At 41.2% G+C, this 20,201-nt stretch overlaps 1 protein-coding gene across 24 annotated transcripts in view, besides 3 other annotated features; it reads left to right on the plus strand.

Moving 5' to 3' along the window:
- The window catches only part of CELF2 (CUGBP Elav-like family member 2), an 874,126-nt gene that overhangs the window by 333,871 nt on the left and 520,054 nt on the right, over window positions 1-20,201 (plus strand). For 8 of the 24 annotated variants that reach the window (XM_047424492.1, XM_047424491.1, NM_001326328.2 and 5 more), the window contains exon 1: window positions 2,305-2,397. The exons of 9 other annotated variants lie outside the window; for them this stretch is intronic. Coding sequence is in view for 9 of the 15 variants with exons in the window: in XM_047424487.1 (XP_047280443.1) it covers window positions 2,345-2,397 (53 nt within the window). In the remaining 6 variants the exon portion in view is untranslated. Of the gene's footprint in view, window positions 1-418; window positions 484-882; window positions 924-2,290; window positions 2,398-20,201 lie in introns of those variants that run through there. 7 more of the 24 variants (XM_047424482.1, XM_047424483.1, NM_001326325.2 and 4 more) reach the window with 3 other exon arrangements.
- Window positions 1,455-2,149: an enhancer, noted in NCBI's record as "H3K27ac-H3K4me1 hESC enhancer chr10:10839838-10840532 (GRCh37/hg19 assembly coordinates)". NCBI's record gives its function as "activates a minimal SCP1, AML or CMV promoter by ChIP-STARR-seq in primed H9 embryonic stem cells {active_cell/tissue: H9 hESC(primed)}" and the evidence as "EXISTENCE:reporter gene assay evidence [ECO:0000049][PMID:30033119]".
- Window positions 2,150-2,843: an enhancer, noted in NCBI's record as "H3K27ac-H3K4me1 hESC enhancer chr10:10840533-10841226 (GRCh37/hg19 assembly coordinates)". NCBI's record gives its function as "activates a minimal SCP1, AML or CMV promoter by ChIP-STARR-seq in primed H9 embryonic stem cells {active_cell/tissue: H9 hESC(primed)}" and the evidence as "EXISTENCE:reporter gene assay evidence [ECO:0000049][PMID:30033119]".
- Window positions 8,415-9,614: an enhancer, noted in NCBI's record as "CDK7 strongly-dependent group 2 enhancer chr10:10846798-10847997 (GRCh37/hg19 assembly coordinates)". NCBI's record gives its function as "activates an origin of replication core promoter dependent on BRD2, BRD4, P300/CBP, MED14 and CDK7 cofactors, with strong dependence on CDK7, by STARR-seq in HCT116 cells {active_cell/tissue: HCT116}" and the evidence as "EXISTENCE:reporter gene assay evidence [ECO:0000049][PMID:35650434]".

The raw sequence follows: 20,201 nt of genomic DNA on the forward strand, positions 1-20,201 counted from the left end.
AAAAGTTTTTGAAAAGACAGCTGCTTTAAAATGGTATTTCATAATTTACAAAAATGGGTTTGTCCTTTTGTCCTTTGGCCAAAAGCCAAATCCCACCCTTTTCCTCCATTAACCCTGAACTCTAAGTGTTAAGAACTCATTTCCCTCCCTTCCCCAGACCTGAATCTCCCTGGTGCCGTGGGCTAAGGATGAGGATGATGTCATTATAGTTGCGGACACTATTTCATTATAATCTTTTGCTACTCTCTTGCTAACTTTCTAAAGGGAAAAACATTTCATTAATTATCAAAGCACCCGGAACCCTTTGGAGGTACACTCCGTATAAAAGCTATTATTATCACCCACATTTGGTGAAGTACTTGGAGATTAAAAGTGTTATGTAAATGTTTGCACATGATTACGCTGTGGTCTGAGATTCACAGTGGGATAACACAGCCCAGGAAGAAGCTTGAAGTCCCAGAAAGGCAATGATTTTTGTACGAGGTATGAAATTCTCTTTTAATTTTAGTCTAGAGACAGTTGCACTTCTGAAGAAAGTCATTCACAGCCATTAGGGAAAGTATCCATGACTGCTAAAGAGAAAACAAATCTAAACAGAGGGTTAGCTGCATATGTTAAGATCCACGGGTCCATGGAGAACAGGCTGGTAAGAAAGGGATTTACAATGCTGGGATAGGCGTTTGGAGTGGCAAAAACTTCCTGACAGTAAAAGTAGCCTGCTTCCAAAACCTGTGGGAGCATCTTCCCCCCAGGAAAGAACAGAGATTCTCTTTCTTAGAAGGCTCTGCTTGAAGGGAAGAAGTTGGGACCCTTCCTCCGGGCTGATGCTTTCAAGTAACAAGGACATGACAAAGCACTGAATCACAATATGTTTTCTTTCAGTCTTCCCTCTTCCTTCTCAGGGAAGTCTCTGGCTGGTGCAGGTATGTTCTTAACACTCTTAACATTGCGTAAACTCTCTTTGCAACAAAGAGAAAAAAAAAAAAGACCTAAATCAGAGCCTTTAGCTGGTCTCAGTGTCTGGGCATAATAATAATTGTTTTATTTTAGTTATTCCCTGCATTTGCCTTCTACCAAAGACCAGTGAAGCTGATTTTCCATTTATGGGAATGACTTTAAAAATCCCTTTTAAAAATAAGCGTAAGAAAAAGAGGAATTTAATATAAAGAAAGACTATCAAGTAAAGCTCATGTTGCAGGCAGCTGCAGCAGAAATCTTGACGGGCTGGCCAGCCATGGTCCGGAAGCCACTGGACCAGATGATTTCAAGGTCGGCTACTTCCAGGATCCTGAGGGCAGGAGGAAGAGCTTCAGCTGCGGAGGTCTTAGTTCAAACCAGGACCCTCCAAGCATAGAAGCCTCTGCTTAAGAGGCAGTGCTTATGAAAATAAGAAATCAGTACAGTCCCGAAGAACCCATACGGGGCGAAGGGATAAGGAGACAAACTATGAACAAACAGTACAGGAAAACAATACTGCCTGGATATCTTAAAACATCTCTCATGCACAATTTCAAACGAGTATTGGAAGGATGTTTGGTTTTCAGTAAATGACAAGATACACAAGGTGGGGGGCGAGTAGGGGGTAGCCTATACCCTTTTCTCTTTATGTTTAAAGAGATTCTGCATTTCCTCCTTCATGTTATTTAAAAACACAAGAAAGCCAGCAAAGGGTGGGGGAGCAGTGTAGCAAAAAATCCCTGCCAGAAAACACACAGTAAAGTCTAGCTTGTTTGCAGTCCTGTTCCAAATTATTTTTAAAAAACAAATCCCAGCAGTAAAGTAGTTACAGCCTCTGAGGGTAGCTCTAAGCCCAGTGTCAGAGTCCCAGAGCCTAAGCCACGAAAAAAGGAGGAAAGAAACCTAACCAGTCTCCTGCCAGGAATAAGAAAAGCAAAATCTCCGAGGCAGGAGAAATACCCCCAAGGAGGGGAAGGCTGCAGCTTGCAGTAATCTGCGAATGATTGCTGGTAAAGTCCAGAGGCTTCAGGCTTGATCTGTGTTTGTTCCCAAAGAAAGCCAAGGAGGACGGTGTTAATAAAGAGAGATTTAAGTGAGAGCTGTGCTTGGAATAAAGTGGGCTACAAAAAGGTCAAATTTGATCAGTTGGAGCAGATTACCGGGGCTTTAAAAGGTGGTGTGGAGCTGGGAGCCGGGTGTGGGACGGAGGAGAGCGCAGGATTGATTTGCGGGGTGGAGAGAAGTCAGGAAAAGTGCGTGTCAGCCCGGGAAGGAGGGAGCCGCGGGGCGCCAGGGCCCGGCCTGGGTCCAGAATCCTCCGTCTGTTCCCCAGCACCCCATCCCCGCCTCCTCCTCTCCGGACTCGCCCTCAGCCGGCTCCTAGACAATGGTTTCCTTGGTCTCTGACTTGGATCCTCTGAAAAACTGGAAAGTTTTAAGGTAGGCCTGCTTTGCTTTCTCTTGCATCCTGGTTTGAGTTCATAGCCAAGGCCCTGCTCCCGCCCCACACCTGTGCAGAAGTGGTTGGGGTTGCTTGAAATGCACCTTGTGGGGTTCAGGGATGCGCAGATCTGCTAGTGGGAAGACTGTTCGGAGGCAGAGGTGTAAGGAGTGGCCTGTGAACGTGAGGTCCTCCAATTTCACCCCAGGGGGGAGGTCGGGAAGCCTTGGCAATGAGGGAGGACAGTCTTATTTAAATGACACCAGCTGACTCGCTGGAAGGAATCCTCATATTGAATTTTTGGGCTTCAGGGGGGCATTAAAGGTGTGAGGTGGAATGTGGTCAACTTTCTGGGACTTCAGATAGAAGAGCGAAATTTGGCCAGGTGCGGAGGCTCACATCTATAATCCCGCACTTTGGGACGCCAAGGTGGATGGATCCCTTTGAGGTCAGGAGTTCGAGACCAGCCTGGCCAACATGGCAAAACCACCCCTGTCTCTACTAAAAATACAGAAATTAGCCAGGTGTGGTGGTGGGTGCCTGTAGTCCCTGCTACTTGGGAGGCTGAGTCAGAAAAATCGCTTAAACTTAGGAGGTGGAGGTTGCAGTGAGCAGAGATCACACCAGTGCACTCCAGCCTGTGCAACAGAGTAAGAATCCATCTCAAAAAATTTAAAAAAAGAGTAAAGAAAGGAAAAGCGAACTTTTCCAGAAAGCCTTATTAGGGCCCTTGAAGGGTCAAGGGAAACTTGGTTTCCTCCTCTGACCTCTCCCCTACCCCCACCCCCACCCCCAGGCCTCAGCTTATGGTGAAACTGAATGGGCAGAATGTATGACATAAAGTCTTTCTCTGAATGCTCCTAAAAAAGTGCACTCTGACCTCCTCATCTCTCAGAGGCCCAGAAAAATTAGAACACAAGGAGCTAGAAAGGGCAGAGTTCATGCATCCTGTCTAAGCTGACTACCTTGGCAGAGTTAATTCTTGGGCTTCACTGACTGTAAATGGTATTTCCTAGCAAATGCGTTTTTGGCAATTTTTGAAATATGAAAATGTTCAATTGAGGGATTTTTGTTAAAAGTGGTTCTGCACAGTGTCATGTCTTCCAAATACCTTCCCCAAAACATGGCTTCATAGGAGCTAGACCAGAACCCAAACAGGAAATACAAATGAGGAGAAATGTGCGGACGTTACTGGAACTTCTTTTTCCTGACATTTGTGTTGTATTAATTTGCTAAGTTTTTATTTCCTATTCATGACTCTGTCTTCATGTTTGTCTGATTTTGTTATTTTTAAGAACAAGATTATAGAAAAGAGCAAATTTAAAAATTGCCAATACCCATCTTAATTATTTTCTTTTTAAAAAGTACTGCATGTCATATTCTAGAACTTTCCACGGATGCTTTTTGCACATCAGGTAGTATGTGCTATTTTATAATCTGCTGTTTCCAGCTAACATATCAAACGTGTTTTCATGTTTCTGCCTAACTTTCATAACCGCCATTTTAATGGCTAAATAAAGCACCGTAATATTAATGTACATTTTTTTTTTGAGATGCAGTTTCACTCTTGTTGCCCAGGCTGGAGTGCAGTGGCATGATCTCTGCTCACTGCAACCTCCACCTCCCGGGTTCAAGCAATTCTTCTGCCTCAGCCTCCCAGATAGCTGGGATTACAGGTGCCTACCACCATACCTGGCTAATTTTTTCTATTTTTAGTAGAGACAGAGTTTCACCATGTTTCCCAGACTGGTCTCGAACTCCTGACCTCAGGTGATACACCCTCTTTGTTGAAAATTTAGATTGTTTCCACTCCTTAATTTGTACTAACAACAACATAATGAACATCTTTGTGTACCTGGCTTTTTACTTTCGTTAAATAATTACCAGGATTTCTTGATGAAAGCTACATTTTCATGAGTCCTTCAGTGATTTTTTTTCTGTTGCATGTTTAAACTTTATTTTTAACTATCGAAAAATGGTAAAGTGCTTCTTTAAATGTTCTTAGGATACATCTATTAGAATAAATGATGCTTTCCTTTTTTTTTAAACTGGATTACTAACCTGTCTCTAAAACTGAAACACTTCCTACAAGTGCTTTCAAACAATTTTTCTCAGGCGATTAACTTACTATTATTACATCAGTGGATAAGGCAGGCTGTAGCTCTAAGAATGTATATGACTACGGTTATAGATTTTGAAACATGTATCGCCCCCAAAGGCATTTTTAGATAATGATCTCAAGTCTTAACCCGTTTTTAAAAAAAAAACAGTGAGAATGTTGTTTTTCCCCTAAACATGCCCCAAATTTAAGTGAAGCTTAGTTTTGCTAGAGTAAGTGAAGTTTCAGAAACTTGGACTGGCAAGACCTGGGAAAGAGAAACATTTTTACATTGACTCCTTTGGCTACACCAAGTTCATTCTGTCCACACCTCTTCTTGGCAAGCATTATTCCACTGGCTTTTTAACTGTGTGTAATCCTTTTCTGAGGTCAGGAACCATAAAGGGATAGAGTTTATAAATTGCATTTTAAATTCCTTAATTGTTTACAACAAGGCATCCTTTTGGCTAATTTTGCTTCATTTAACGGTTTACTTGCCACCAATAAGTCTCTGCCTATAATATGTGGAAGAAGCAAAGATAAAACACAGCCTGATAAATGGGTGATCTAGCAGGAGAATGAGGTGTGTACTCTAACGCCACATAGCACGGTTGTTAGCAGGGTTGTCTGTGATCTGAGTTATGTCAATAAAATGCTTTAGAAATCCAGAGAATGGCGTGAGAGGCCCCATTCTGGTAAAGAGAAAGAGCAGTTACTGTCCTCATCTGATTAACAAATGAGTAGAACATTTGATATGTAAAGCATATTACAAGGCAAAAAGGCCTTTAAACCCACGTAACCTGGAAGATCCTCATGTGTTTGGTCCAGGAGCTCAGTCTAGAGTTCTGCCAAACCTGTTGCTCCTAAAAAGTCATCAAAAGGCACAATTTTAAAACCTGCTTATGCCACAATATAGTGTTTTAGGAGATGATCTGTTTGCAGTGCACAATTTCAGGTTATAAGCCTTTCTCAAGAACTGTCTATTTGAAATCGCTCCATCCTTGTTCCATTTTGTTACATGGAGAAACCAGGGGTGGTCGTAGTGCTACTGCCTGTGTTTTAATGACTGTCTACCCCAAGGGACATAAAAGAAACCTAATTTTCACCAAAAGACATGCCAATAATTTTCAACATTCTCCCATTTGACTCCTCGGAAAGTACAAACACTCCAGCTGCATTCAAAGAAAAAAATTCAAAAGCTAAATAAAGTATTCTTGGTACACAGAAGAAAAAAGTTGACACTGTATTAGACCTATGATTAAAAGAATAAAATAGGCTGGGCACAGTGGCTGACACCTTAATCCCAGCACTTTGGGACACCGAGGCAGGCGGATCATGAGGTCAAGAGATCGAGACCATCCGGGCCGACATGGTGAAACCCTGTCCCTACTAAAAATACAAAAATTAGCTGGGTGTGGTGCCACGCACCTGTAGTCCCAGCTACTCAGGAGGCTGAGGCAGGAGAATTGCTTGAACCTGGGAGGCAGAGGTTGCAGTGAGCTGAGATCGTGCCACTGCACTCCAGCCTGGGTGACAGAGCGAGACTCTGTCTCAAACAAACAAACAAAAAAAGAATAAAATAAACTTGAACATATGCTGAGTGCAACAAGATGAGATGTTTATAGATAAGACTTGAGAGAAAAAAAAGTTGACAGGAGAATTAAGCAGGGAATGGGACCCAGAATATCTGGTGTCTCCTTTACCCATGCATAAGCCCTAAGTCACCTCTGGGGAAGGATTAAAAACCCCAAATCAAGTTTAACTCTCCCATTTAGAGACAAGGGAATAGATGAATTGACTAAAGGAAGTCATAGAACTCATTAGCACTGCAAGCTGTTGCCAATTCCTCTTCCAACTCCATCCTCTCTCCTGAGGAATGTCCTTCCCCACCTCCACTTCTGTCTCCCTTTCTCCTTCAGCTTTCAGACAGCTCAGTCCAATTGCATGCCTTAAAGATGTCAAAAGCTCAACAGGTTATAAACTCTATCTATAATGTCCCCCCAAGAACTCACTGGTTTCCAGCTCTAGTAGGTTCATGAGTCACAGTGATCTAGCCAGGTACTCAAACTGGAAAGTTAGGCAGTCTCCCTAATCCCCCATTTTCCGTCTTAATTTATATCCAAACTATTGCCAGCTCCTACTGAGTTTGACTCCTAAGCACCTAGTGACTCTGTCCACTTTTTTCCACCTTCCATTGATAACATCTCATTTTGCTAAGAATGCTACCTCCTAACAAGACTCCCTGCTTCACTCTTGCTCTCTTAAACAATTTTGCACATAGAGGAATGAAAGCATTACAAACGCCATAAATCAGATTCTGTGACTTCCCTACTAAAACTTGCCCTTTACTCTTAGAGTCAAAGCCAGTATCCTTATTTTAACCTGCAAGGCCCCATCTGGCCTGACCCTTATGAACCTCTCTGCCTAAATCTCCTCCCTCTCTCCCCACAGCTCACATTGCTCCAGCCCTGCTGGTCTTTCTCTTTCTCAGTTATGCAGCCAGGCTATTTTGGCTTGATTTTCATTAGCTACTCCCTCTCCCTGCCTGGCAATCTTTCCTTAGCTATTGGCAGGGTAGAGGCTGCTCCTCATTCAAGCCTTAGCTCCCATGTCATCTCCTCAGTTAGCCCTTCCCTGACCTCCCAGTTTAAAGCCAAAAGTCAACCTCTAGCACATCTCCCTGATGGACTGAATCATAGGCAACAGCCAGTACTCAACTATATTGACTTATAAAAATGTTCACTTCGTATGGTTCAGCTAATATTCTCATCACAGCATTGCCAGTATCTGCCATCTGCATATGTATTTGTTTACTGATTATCTCTCTCCCCTATTAGAATGCACTGTTTGTGTATTTAACTGTTACATACCCAATATCTAAAAGATTTCCTAGCACACGACAATGAATGAATGAATGAATGAGTGAAGGAGTCACTCTTTGTCTCTCTTATCCTACTTTATACTCACTCCATGGGGCCAGGGGCTTTGTATATGTCATTCACATCCCACCCCTAGTATTTAGCACTGTGATATTGTGTTATGTGGAATGAATGAATTGACTGATGAATTAATGACTCCTAACACCTAGTTGAGTAATTCTATCTTCAGTTGCTTTTTTCTGTGCCAATCAGAAAAGTGTCTAATATGGTAATGTAGAAAATTCTAAAATCCTCTCTGAGAATCTGATCTATATGTAGTGTTGAGGTGGAATTTATTCTTTCTAAACAAGAGAATGATCTGGAACAGATGTTGACAAATTTCTTCATCAAGGGCCAGATGATGAATATTTCAGGTTTTGCTGACCATACAGTTTCTGTCACAACTATACAACTTTGCTATGTTAGCCTGAGAGCAGCCATAGATGGTATGTAAACAGCTTGGGTGTGACCTAATAAAACTTTATTTAAACAGATTGTCTTTAAACACTGGGCTGGATATGGCCCAGGGCCCATAGTCTAACTTGGTCCATGATCTAGACTAATGATCTGACTAGCAGGAAAATAGAAGTGGCTTTGACAGATAGTTGGAGGGATGCTTTCAAATCTCATACGACAAGGCAAATATCAAAAACTAGTCTTGTTATTAGGAAAAAACTTCAGAGGAGCCCTGGTGATATTTCAAAGGTCAGAGATGTTTTAGGTTATGAGCACTTGATCTCACAAAGATGATGAATGTCTGGAGGAAATGTATGGTTTACTGCATCCCTTAAATGTTTGAATGAGCCTTAAAGCTGTAACGAACTACACTTTTGCGTGTTCCCTTATGGAGTGTGTGAGAACCTCCCATTAATGAAAACAGCACACGTTGATGGGAAACATAGAACAGACCCCGAAATGTTGTAAGTCACTGCTTGGCCTTGATGCTTTCTTTTTCATTTCTGTCTCTGGCTCATTTAGTGTACATTTCTCTTTCACATGCCGGGAAGTCTCCTAAGATGCATCCCAGATTCACAGAGGAGAGCACGCTGTGTAAGTTTGGAGGAATGTCATGTGTGGATACCCTTCGGTTCATGTCACATGACATCTTAAAGATGTATAGAGCCAGAAAAGGTTGCATGGATGCTCTGCTTGTATTCCTTGTGAGCAGGCTGGCCATCTGAAGATCAGGAATTTATATTCTTAGATGATAATATACAAGAATTATCAGTGCTTTCTACATGCCATGCCTTATGCTAAGTGCTTTTCATGTAATGTCTCATTTTATCTTTGTAATAGCCCTGTGAAGTAGGTAGTGGTTCTTTTGCTCTTATTTAGAAGGAAGTGATACTTGTAAAGTTCCGGTCACTCATCCAAACACACACATACAACAGGTGTGGAGCCCCAGTGTGGACTTGGGTATTGCTAACCCTGAGCTAGAGCAATTAAACAGTGACACCACATACTTTTCTGATCTAGTTACTACTTTTTCTTGATAAATTGACAAGCATGGCAAAGTGTGTTGTCTTTACTACACCTCAGAGAGGAAAATTTTGCACCACGTAATTTTTCCTTTTCCCTTAGGAATATTTGAAGAATCATGACTCAGTTACGACTCAGTACTTTTAAAAATTTTTTGCAGAGCTGCAGGAAGAGGTGTTGGCTGGAATGCATTGTCAATTCTTTTGGCAGCCTGGAGCTTTACGAGGCGGGCACTTGAAGGGGAATGGAATGGGATCACCCTAGGGATGTGGCCTTGAGCTGTTAGAAACTATGTCAGTGTTTGTTCAAGTCTTTTAATGAGGGGGGGAGACGGGTGGATGAAATCATTTTTGTTGAGTTTGTAAGTTTTATAGCTCAAGGTGGAGGCCTAGTTGAGAAGAGCTCAGAGGAGCCCGGCTGGAGTTTGATCATAGAGAGAGTCTTTAGGAGTCCTTTTCTTGCTCCAGGAAAAAAGAGACAGTGTACATTGCTTTGAACACTCTAAGTCCATTTTCCATTTGATCACCTTGTGTTCATTAAGGACCAGCTAAACCATCTGTTGAGACTCGGTAGTCGAGGACATCTGCTAGATGGGGGAGCAATCAGGCATTTAATGAGGGGCCTTTCTATGGAAACAAAAAGAAAAATGAAAAGTAATGGTTGGAGCTGACTGTAAACTCAGTGTCTGAGGCCAGAGGACAGTCAGTTGAGAAGATCTCTGGACACTGAGCTCTAAGCATCTTTAGATGGTGAAGTGAGAAGGGCAATGGCAGTCAGACAGATTTCCTGGTTTACGGTTTGGATTTTTGTCATCATGGTGTAGACATTAATGTCACCACGAAGGGTATTTCCTGGAGCAGAGCATGGGAGACACAGGGGTTCCAGTGTTCTTTTTTTTTTTTTTTCTTTTGAGATGGAGTCTCACTCTGTAGCCAGGCTGGAGTGCAGTGGCGTGATCTTGGTTCACTGCAACCTCTTACTCCCTGGTTCAAGCGATTCTCCTGCCTCAGCCTCCTGAGTAGCTGGGATTACAGGCACGTCCCACCACACCCAGCTAATTTCTGTATTTTTAGTAGAGACAGGGCTTCACCACGTTGGCCAGGATGGTCTCGATCTCTCTGACCTTGTGATCTGCCTGCCTTGGCCTCCCAAAGTCCTGGGATTACAGGCATGAGCCACTGCACCCAGCCTCCAGTGGACTTTCTGAGTGGCCCTGGTAGCAGCAGCTCTGGGTGTAATGGTTGCTCCTACATGATTTATTGTGGTAATGACTTTCTGGACATGTAGATCCACTTGTCTGGCTTCAGTGTGCAGGACTGTATCAGATCATGGAGCCAAATAGCAGCTATAAGACAACACTGAGTCACAATAAGGATCTTGGCCATCAGGTTTCAGTTCTCATTGATGACAAGTCAGGTGGAAGGGAGAAAAAGTGAAAACGTTAACTTTGGAGAGTTACAGTCACCCACTCAAGAAAACTAGAAGAGTATTTGGTAAGGGGTGACCATATGTGTAAGATGGAAGGATCCAGTCCGGTTTTACAGGTAAATAATATAAACTCCCCAAAACAAGGAACAGGACTAGAATCTGATCACCCACAAGGATGTGTTGCAGTTTTCTATTGAAACATAAGATTGTTGTCCACGGTTACCCCCCTTTTTGATCAAAGATAAACTAATACTATTCTTGTTTATAAAATGTTTCTTGTCTCATTAAACTGGGCCAGATGATATTTATATAAGTGCAGCAAAAATAATAATTGAGCACATAGACCTTTTTAAGTTTGCTTTGCTAGAAAATAAAGAATCTCCTATTGGACTTTCAAAAGCCTCTGCTTTTCTAGCAAGCCAAGCCAGGAACTTGCCATCAGACTTCACCTTCAATACCTGTAGCTTTGGGTAAATTCCTTTTCTTTTGAGGTCCCCAAAATATTTTAATGTTCTTAGGCTTGCCAGGACATGACCATTCTTACTCACCTATACATCTGCAAATCCTGTAAGCCAGGTATCAGCCTAGTTCTTCCAAGAGGGATTTGTATACCTTCACTCCGTAAAGTCAACCTTGGATCCTTAAATATGTCTGGTCATATCTGATTTTATGTGTCATTCTCAAATAGGGCATTCCATTCAAAGCCTTGAACATATAAACCAATGTTTCCAATTATGTTCTATTATAAGGGAGACAGATTTTTTTTTGCACCTGTGCAAATAACTATTGTCATGCAAATAAGAATACCCAAGAACAAATTCTGAATTCTGAAGAGATCAGGTAGGGAGAAAAAGATAAATGTTTCTATTTTGTTTACAAAAGTATAATTTAGTAGATTTTTTGGATGACAGATAGCTTAAGACGAAAGGAAAAGGAATTTTCTGCTATCCAGAAAATAGAGTATTAAAGAGCCAGCAATATTCCAAACAAAAGCCATAAAACATAATAATCATTCCTTATCACTTTACCAAGTCCAATATATTAAATAATTAATTTTGTTCTGCTTGATCTTGAGTTAGCAATTTTATGAAGCTGTCAGCTTCTCTGCTAGAGTTATGGAAAACCTGACTCAGTTCATTAGGATGGTATCAAGGTTATGTAAGCAATGACATCAGAATCTTGCACCCCAGAGTACCTGTCACAGACAGTTATTTCCATAGGTCTCTGAGACAGCTTCTTTTTTGTTAAAGACAAAGTTCTGTGGCTTGAGCTGTTTGCATGAGCAGAGTAAAACAGTCACTATTTCTGGATGACAAAATACTGAAGATGGCCATGGTTAAAGATCTGATGGGCATTCATTATAAAAATAACACTATCGACAAGAAAATGTGGTAGTTTCTGTGACATAAAACATGTTAAAATAATTGCTGGAATTATGACTGACGACATCACACTATTGTTGTCTAATATCAGGCAAAACAGCATTGAGATAGATCCTGGACACAAAGGGCATTGACAAATTTCTAGGAACTTCGTGTAACTTTTGAAATACCACATTTACCTGTACAAATATAACCTGGGGAAGGTTAAACATTTCTTTTTATTAAATAATGCTTTTCATGAATTTCCACCTCGCAAGTAAATTCAATGATTTTAACATCTCTTTTTTTAACCAGGTGAAAGAACAAACCCTTTGAGATTTTTCAAAGGCCCTTGGGAAATCTCAAAGTCAGTTTGGTATCATGAAGGCTTCATTTGGGTTTGATTTTAGGAAGGCAAAGCTGTCAAATATGTCAAAAGGTTCGATTACTTGACAAAATAGGATCACAGGTCACTGCGAAACAATCCTTAGTTAAGTATCTAACCAATGTGACAATGAAAGAATTTAAAAGTAAATACAGGAGGTAAGATCATTGTTTTAAAAACCTTAGTTCTTTTTAAAGTGAGAAGACATGGTTCTCTTAACTAATCAGAGACACGGTAAAGACAACATGAAACACAGAAAATTATTTTTATGAGGTGCAGAATCTTTCTCTCCTAGGAAGATTACTAAAAAGTAGAGAAAAACCTTCTACAGTCTCTTATCAAGAGCATACCACTCATTCAAGAAACATTCTTATTTTCAGAAAGAGAAAACCAAACCAAACTAGGTTTGAGTCCATACGCTATTGATATTGAAGCTCATTTTTAAAAATTTTATACATAAATCCATTTGATCTTAGCAAGTCTTGACATTTACTGTGAACTGAAATGTGTCTCCCCAAAATTCACATGTTGAGGCCCTAACCCCCAATGTGGTGGTATTTGGAGATGAGGCTGTGGGGAAATAATTAGGTATAGATAAGTTTATGGAAGTGAAACCAACATGACGGGATTAGTATCCTTAAAAAGAAGAGATGCCATAGCTCACTCGTGCTTGTGCATACTCTTTCTCTCTCTCTCTGCCTCCCTCTTTCTCTCTCTTTCTCTCTGTCTCTGTCTCTACCATGGAAGGGCACAGCAAGAAGGTGCTGTCTGCAAGCCAGGAAGAAAGCCCTCATTAGAACCATGCTGGGACTTTGATCTCAGACTTCTAGCTTCCAGAATTGTGAGAAAATGCACTTGTACTGTTTAAGCCACCCAGTCTATGGTATTTCATTATGGTGATCTGAGCAGACTAATCACAACATAATATTCTTTTCCTTAAACTTTCTATGACTTTCTGCATCCATTCGGGTTTCATCTTATACTTTCCATCTTTCTCATTCTGGAACAACCAGTCACTTTAGGACAAAATTTCTCTTTTCCTTAGCAGAACCTAATAATCTTCAGACACTCTATACCATACGACAATAAGTCAAAAGTATATAAACTTAAGCTAACGTTTAATAATTGATGCTTTAGTACTTACTTGAAAATTATTTAGATATTTAATGAATATCCATTATTTAATTTAGCAGACTTCTAAGTTTGCAAGTAACTGAAAAGATTTTGGAAACTCTTCTTAGGCAAACATTATGAAACAATTATTCTTGAACTGAAGTTTGTGAAAATAATGATTTAATTTGCTTCAAATCAAATTATCATTTTTATAATCTTAAATATCTAGAAAATATTAGTTTATGTGACTGGTAAACTCAAGAAAAACAAAAATTTATTCTCACGTTATATTTAATGTTGACAACTCTGAAAACATACCTTTTTTATTGAACCAACAATATTAAACTAATCTTACCAAGAATTTACTCAAATTACATAAACATTTGAGTGGGTTTCTATATTTCTGACAGTTTTAGAAAGATTTAATTTACATAAGTGCATATTTCCCTCTAAGCCAATTAGGATAGAACTCTTTTAAAGGATTTTGTAAATTAATTTGTCAATGCCATCTGGAGGGAAGGTACCTTACATACATGCATAAACACACAGATAGACATAAATAGAAACCTATGGCTTTCATTTTTAATATTAGCCATGAGTCAGGCATAAATACAATAATACAAAATACAATCGTGTACGGAAGAGTTAGTTCTCATCTTTACTCCATTTTTTTAATCCAATTTGTGTTTCTGGCAAATGGAGTAGCCAACATTCACCTGCTGAATGTGAGAGCTAAAATTTACCACTAATATTTGTGGAGGAGGCCTTTAAGATTTTTTTACCTTGATAGATCATCTCATGGGGGAGGTGAACTAAATATCTGTTTCCAATTAGTTTTTCTTTGCAGCCTCAGGTAGCTGCTTTTGGGATCCCTAAGTCCCTTAAGCATCCCCCAATGGGGGCAGCTGGCCTCAGGTTCCAGTAACTGTCAGTAATTGAGTGGCTGGAATGGGAAGGGAAGGGTCCAGCAGAGGGAAGAGAGAAGAGGAAGAGCCAGGGGCGGCTCTAAGGGGCTCATATCAAAGAATGCAGGGGAGTGGAAGGGAAGATGGAGACCGGCAGAAGGAGGAAGGAGGTAACGGAAGGGAGAGGTCTTAGAGGAGCCAGTTTAGGGAGACCCTGTTCCCAAAGAAACCACTAAAGTTCCCAATCATCGTTCATCAAGTCATGCCAACAAGAAGTGGGTAGAGTGAGTGCCATCGTGGTGGAGCTTCCAGTCAGCAGGAGTTCAAAAAGGGGCTTTCAGATGGCTGAGAAGTTCCTATGGGATGGGCAGGAAGAAAAATAATTTCCAACTCAGGCATCAGGGAATGAATCCCCACTCAGAATAAGGATCCAGGAAGAAACACTTGCAACCCAGAAGGTCCCCTTTGAAAGAAGCCTGGGACTCTCTTCCAGCTTCAGAGAGTATGCGCAGAGCCATCAGTATCAAAATGTCTCCTCGCTGTGCTCCTACAGACATGTGTTCGGAGCCTTGGATCAGGAGAGTCAGACTCACGACCAAAGACCCAGAGGACACAAAAGTCTCTGTGCAGGCAGAGTTGTCCTGTTCAAGGATCTCATGGCAGCAGATCCAGATCTGAGTCACAGCAGCAGATAATGGTCAAATATAAAGTTTTCTTTGTTTATAAATTAAGTGGTCAGGACAGATTTTAATTACCAATAAATTATTGCAGTAGGGATGCACTTCCAGCATCAACAGGGCTCAGCTTTATAGAGATGACCAGGCTTTTTAAAGGGAGAATGGGGTGGAGGGCCAGAAAGCAGGAGTGCCATAGAGTCAGGAAGTGAAAAATTGCAAATGTGGGCAATGTGATTAGGCAACTGGGTGTGTACACTGCCACCTGTAGATGTTAGGACTCAGTTCTCCCACAGAGATGGGGGGAGAGGGGCCCTGGTCTTCCTCGTGGTTACATTGTAAAGAAACAGCTTTCAGGTTCTTCAGAAAGACCCTCCTGAGTTGCAGGGGGTACATGCACATCTCAAAGGGATGGAGGAAGGGATCACCATTATAAGCCCTATGTATTCAATGACCTAAGAAAGGGAGGGCAGGGGCCTGTGTCAGGTATTGGCTGGAACACAGGGTCAATTCTTTTGGCATCCTGGAGCCTTCTGAGGCAGACACTTTAAGGGGAATGGAATCACCCTGGGGATGTGGCCTTGAGCTGTTAGAAACTACGTCTTCAAATGTGTCATGGGGGACTGATGAAATCATTTGTGTTGAGTCTGTGGTTTTTATAGCTCAAGGTGGAGGCCTAGTTGAGAAGAGGGCTGCAAGGAGTTTGGTCCCAGAGAGAGTGTTGTTAGGAAAGAGAAAATCACCATGTGCCCCTCATCTCCCCTCCTCTCCCCAAATAATGTATTTTGGCTAAAAGTCCCAGAATCCTAGGATCCTATGCTGTCCAGTCCACAGTAAAGATAATAATCCACATGCAGGGTCCTGTCTGTTCTCATGCAGAGCTGCTGTATTTCCCACCTATATTAGTCCATTTTCATGTTGCTGACCAAGACATACCCGAGAGTGGGTGAGTTATAAAGAAAAATAGGTTTAATGAACTCACAGTTCCATGTGGCTGGGAAGGCCTCACAATCATGGCAGAAGGCAAAAGGCATGTCTTACATGGTGGCAAACGAGAGAATAAAGCCAAGCAAAAGGGGAAACCCCTTATCAAACCATCAGATCTTGTGAGACTTATTCACTACCATGAGAACGGTATGGGTGAAACTGCCCCCATGATTCAATTATCTCCCACTGAGTCCTTCCCACAACATGTGGAAATTATGGAAGCTACAATTGAAGATGAGATTTGGGTGGGGACACAGCCAAACCATATCACCACCACTCTCGACTTTAGTGCAACAGAGTTAGAGGGCACCTGAGAGATCAATTTCTTGATGATCTCTTCATGTCTATGTAAAAATAAAAGTCTCCGTTCCCCAAACACCATATTATTTAGGAGGATAGGGACTGTCTGTTCAGCACTGTGTCCTCAGCAGTGCCTGGTCCTGTATGCAGGACCCAGGTTTCATGCTTTCTAATTTCACCTGAGAACTTCTCACTAAGCCCCCTCCCTGGCTGTCCACCCTCAGGTGGAAGTAAGATTTTCTTCTTCTGAATGTTCATAACACTGAATCTAAACCTCAGATCTGCAAATGCATATTTTCTACTTTGTAGTGTTTGTGTAGTAATTCCATTAATAGGGTGTCAATGTCTGGAAGATAGGCAGGGTCAATGTCTGATTCAATCTGGTGTCCTCCTGTATCCCTTATATCATCAGGCACTGCGTTTATCTGAGTGTTTGGATGGAAACCCACATATTCCTCATTTCTACTATGAGATATTGAACCAGGATTGCCCAACTATAAAATTGTATGATCGATGTAAGATAGAACAGAGAAGTACCTTCCCATCGGATCCCGAATCCCACCTCTGAGTGATACCATGAATCCATCTCCTATACTGCCCAGTTTTTCTCACAGCACAGCAATTCTCTTTATATTGATCCTCATTTTCTTTCAAGGCTCTTTTATTCCCACTCCTTCCGTAGAGCTGATGGACGAAACTACAGATCTGTGTTCAGATGTGCTGTCTCTGAGCTGGAGCTCTAATGTAAATCAGCTGTTCAGGGATGAGTTCTGCTGACAGAGACTGACATTAGCGATTTTATGACTGGTCCTGCAGGGCTGAAGATTGCAATCCATCCAGGGTGCAGGTGTTTCTGTTAACCATGCTGTAGAACTCCATTTTGATTTTGTTTTGTGCTAGTTTTTCATTCTTATAAAGATACAAATGTCCAAGTCAGAAAGAATTGTTACAGAGCTGTGGAAATGGCAGTTTTATACATTTGATCATATTTCCTGGTGGGTAAAGTGAAAGATTTTGTGAACTGGGAAGATGTGGCCCTCACTGAAGTTGGTTATTTGTAAATGGCATGTAATGCCGGCTCTGAGACTTCGCATGTGTCCTTCCTTGGCTGCCATTATTATTGTCGTTATTGAACATAACATACATTATCCAGTTCTCCAAACCTGGGATGCTTTTCCCCTTCTCCATGAAAGCACATGGTCTCTATTTAAAAGGTTTATTCCAGCAAAACTTCCTTTAAACTCTATTTAAGCAGTTTATTCCAAATGGCTGTATTCCAATAAAACTTACAGTTTTACAAAAACAGGTGTTGGGCTGGATTTGGGCCATGGGCCGTGGTTTGCTAACTCCATTGAGTTTTAGAACCTTTGAGATCCACGATAACTTGGACAGCAACAGGGAGACTGAACTACAAGAAGCAGCAAGAGAGAATCTGCTTCCCCCAGTACTGTGTGCTGAGCTAAGCTGTCCTGGGCTTTAGCTCCTGGGAAAAAGAGTGTACAAGAGATGAGAGAGAGAGAGCTGGGTTTGTTCAGACCCAGGATCTCCTTTCACTTTGGATATATTGAGGCCAAACAACAGTGCACACTTTGTCTTTTAAGGAAGGCTCAGCACCTCTACTCTCTAGCAAATATACATTTCAATGACCTGGAGCCACATCCTTCCATAGCAGGCACTTATCCCTTTGGGGAAGGAGGACAGATCATGAAATGGGAACAAGAGAAGGAAGAAAGGGAAAGAAGAGTCCTAAAAAAAAAAAAAAAAAAAAAAAAAAGCTGCTCTAAAGGGACTGTAGGACTCTGGGAAGAAAGGCAGCTGGGATCATTTATTGCCCAAAAGAGCCAGAAGATGACTTCAGAAGAAAGAGAACTTGACTCTCTTTGTCTTGGTCTGTATCCATGATTGCTGTCTTCATCGCCACAAAATCTAACCTCTTCTTTTGGATGTGGCCTCCCACATTTTATTTTTAAACAAAAATAAAGTTCGCTCATGGCTTGGATGCTAGATTGAATGCATGTATGATCAGGCCTTCGGGCAACCACAGCAGCGCCGTAGTATCCCAGAGAAGCCCACATTTCCCACTTCCAACACGTGCCTCTTGGGCCCCTCCATGACAGGCCATGCATCTCTATCACTAGAGAATGAGAACACTGTTTTTGAAGAGATTTAAGATTTTGAGCTGGCCCTGGGCCAAATGAGGTAACATGGCCCTCCAGTTTCCTCCTGTAGGGAGGCTCTTCAGAGAGCTCAATCAGTTACAGCTTACCTTGAGGTTAAATCCAGGTAATATGATGTCAGGGGATTTGTATTTTAGGAACTATCTCCAATTATGCAACATGAGATGGGAGGTGGGAACAGAAGAACTCAGGAATTCGAATTTTGGTGAGGCTTTCAGTATGCCTGAAATCACACACCATAGGTTCCGTCTAGAGCACCTAGGGCATGAAGACCTGACTTGGATTGAGTTCCTTCCTGGTTAGGATAGCTCTCTCCCCTCTTCCTTAATAAATTACCACTTCACAATCAATTGCCCTTCAATTACTAAATTGAAAGTGTCAGTCTGCCTTGTCAAAGAGTGAGAATTATAGAAGAATGGGGCTTTGAGAAGATCACTGGAGAGGGAAGCAGTTTGAGGCAGAATTTATCTTAAAGACTTTAATTGCATGTATGACTTCTTCCTGGTGGGTGTAAAACCCTCTGGAGCCCCTGCCCTGGCCCAGATTCTAATCAGGTTTTCTCCCAGGGTGTCACTGATGTGCTCCTCTTTGCCCCTCTCTCCCCTTGTACAGCAAGAGGTAGATTTTACCTTTGGGCAACTGGCCTTGTGCTGATGGTGGCAGAAAAGGACAATTTGCTCAATTAATATTTCTGCAGGAAAGGAGGAAATGGTCATTATTTATATCATTGAAAGAGGGGAGTGTTTGTTTGAGAAAAACAGCTCCTGAGAACTTGGGTTTTGTTTCCTAAAAACTAGTAACTAGGTTAGAGAATATAGAGAATAAAACCTGTTTGCCTGGTTCCCAGACTAGCCCTGTTCTGCTGTCTTCCCTCATTACAGAAGACAGGCAGCAAATGTGGTTTTCCATTTATTGAACATATCTTGGGCAAAGTCTTTCTAATGAAACTAGTTTGTTGTATTTTGGAATCCTTGTTTTAGGCTCTGTCTGCAATCAAGCAGCTCTCTCCAGAGGATAAAGCTATATTAAGCTTTAATTCTCTAGTTAATTTTTTTTTGGTAGCCATGAAATTAGCTTCCTTGTCTTTTGCATACGTTCTGTGGATCACCATTCAGTAAATGAGCAGACCCAGAACACCCTCAACCAGCCTGTTAGTTAGATGGGGAACAGAGCTAAACATTTTGCATATAAACTTCAAACACCATAGAGAAAGTGAGAGTAAGTCCTTGACTCTATATTTCATAGCTTGGGGTTTGGGTTGTTTTTTTTTTTTTTTGCCCCATAAATTGGCCTAAATCCCTTTTGATCATCGTTTCTTATTTTTTGGCAGACGATGTTTTATCTTCGTGAAAACAGTGAATGTTTTTTGACTTGTGGTAACACCATCCTCCTACATAGACCTTTTACTTTTATTGACCCCTGCAATTGTATTTGGTCTAAACTTTAATCTCCAGCCTGTAACATAAAAGTATAAATCACATCTTGAGACCATAAGTTTCTATATTTGTTGTTGGTAAGCACAGAAGATTTTAGTAAAGACAGTTCAGACAAGAGACAAATAAGCCAGTCCTGGAAAGTGGCTGAAGAGGCCCTGTGTTTCATAAATCCATTGATTTACATTCTTATTTCTCTTTATATCTGATTTTTAAAAAAATAATCAAAGGCACATTCAGGTAATTTTGTGTTATAGGGTGACTCTAGGAGCTGGCTTCTGCTTCTGACTTCAGATAAACCTCTGTTTAAAAAAGTATTTGCTGAAAATCTAACCTACCTGATTACAGCAATCAAGATGTTTCAAGTATATTGAGTGTATTTTGCTAATGCACAGTTTAATTGTGACACTCTCTGTGTCCCTTTTCCTATAATTATTTTTATCTGTATTATGCACATACTGAATAGCCATAGAGCTGTAAGAAGAAAGAGGAATACGTGGAAAATTAAATGTCCAGTTAACTGGAGACATGCTTCTGTGCAGATA

The sequence above is a fragment of the Homo sapiens genome, chromosome 10 (genome assembly GCF_000001405.40).
Source record: "Homo sapiens chromosome 10, GRCh38.p14 Primary Assembly".
Classification (NCBI taxonomy): domain Eukaryota; kingdom Metazoa; phylum Chordata; class Mammalia; order Primates; family Hominidae; genus Homo; species Homo sapiens.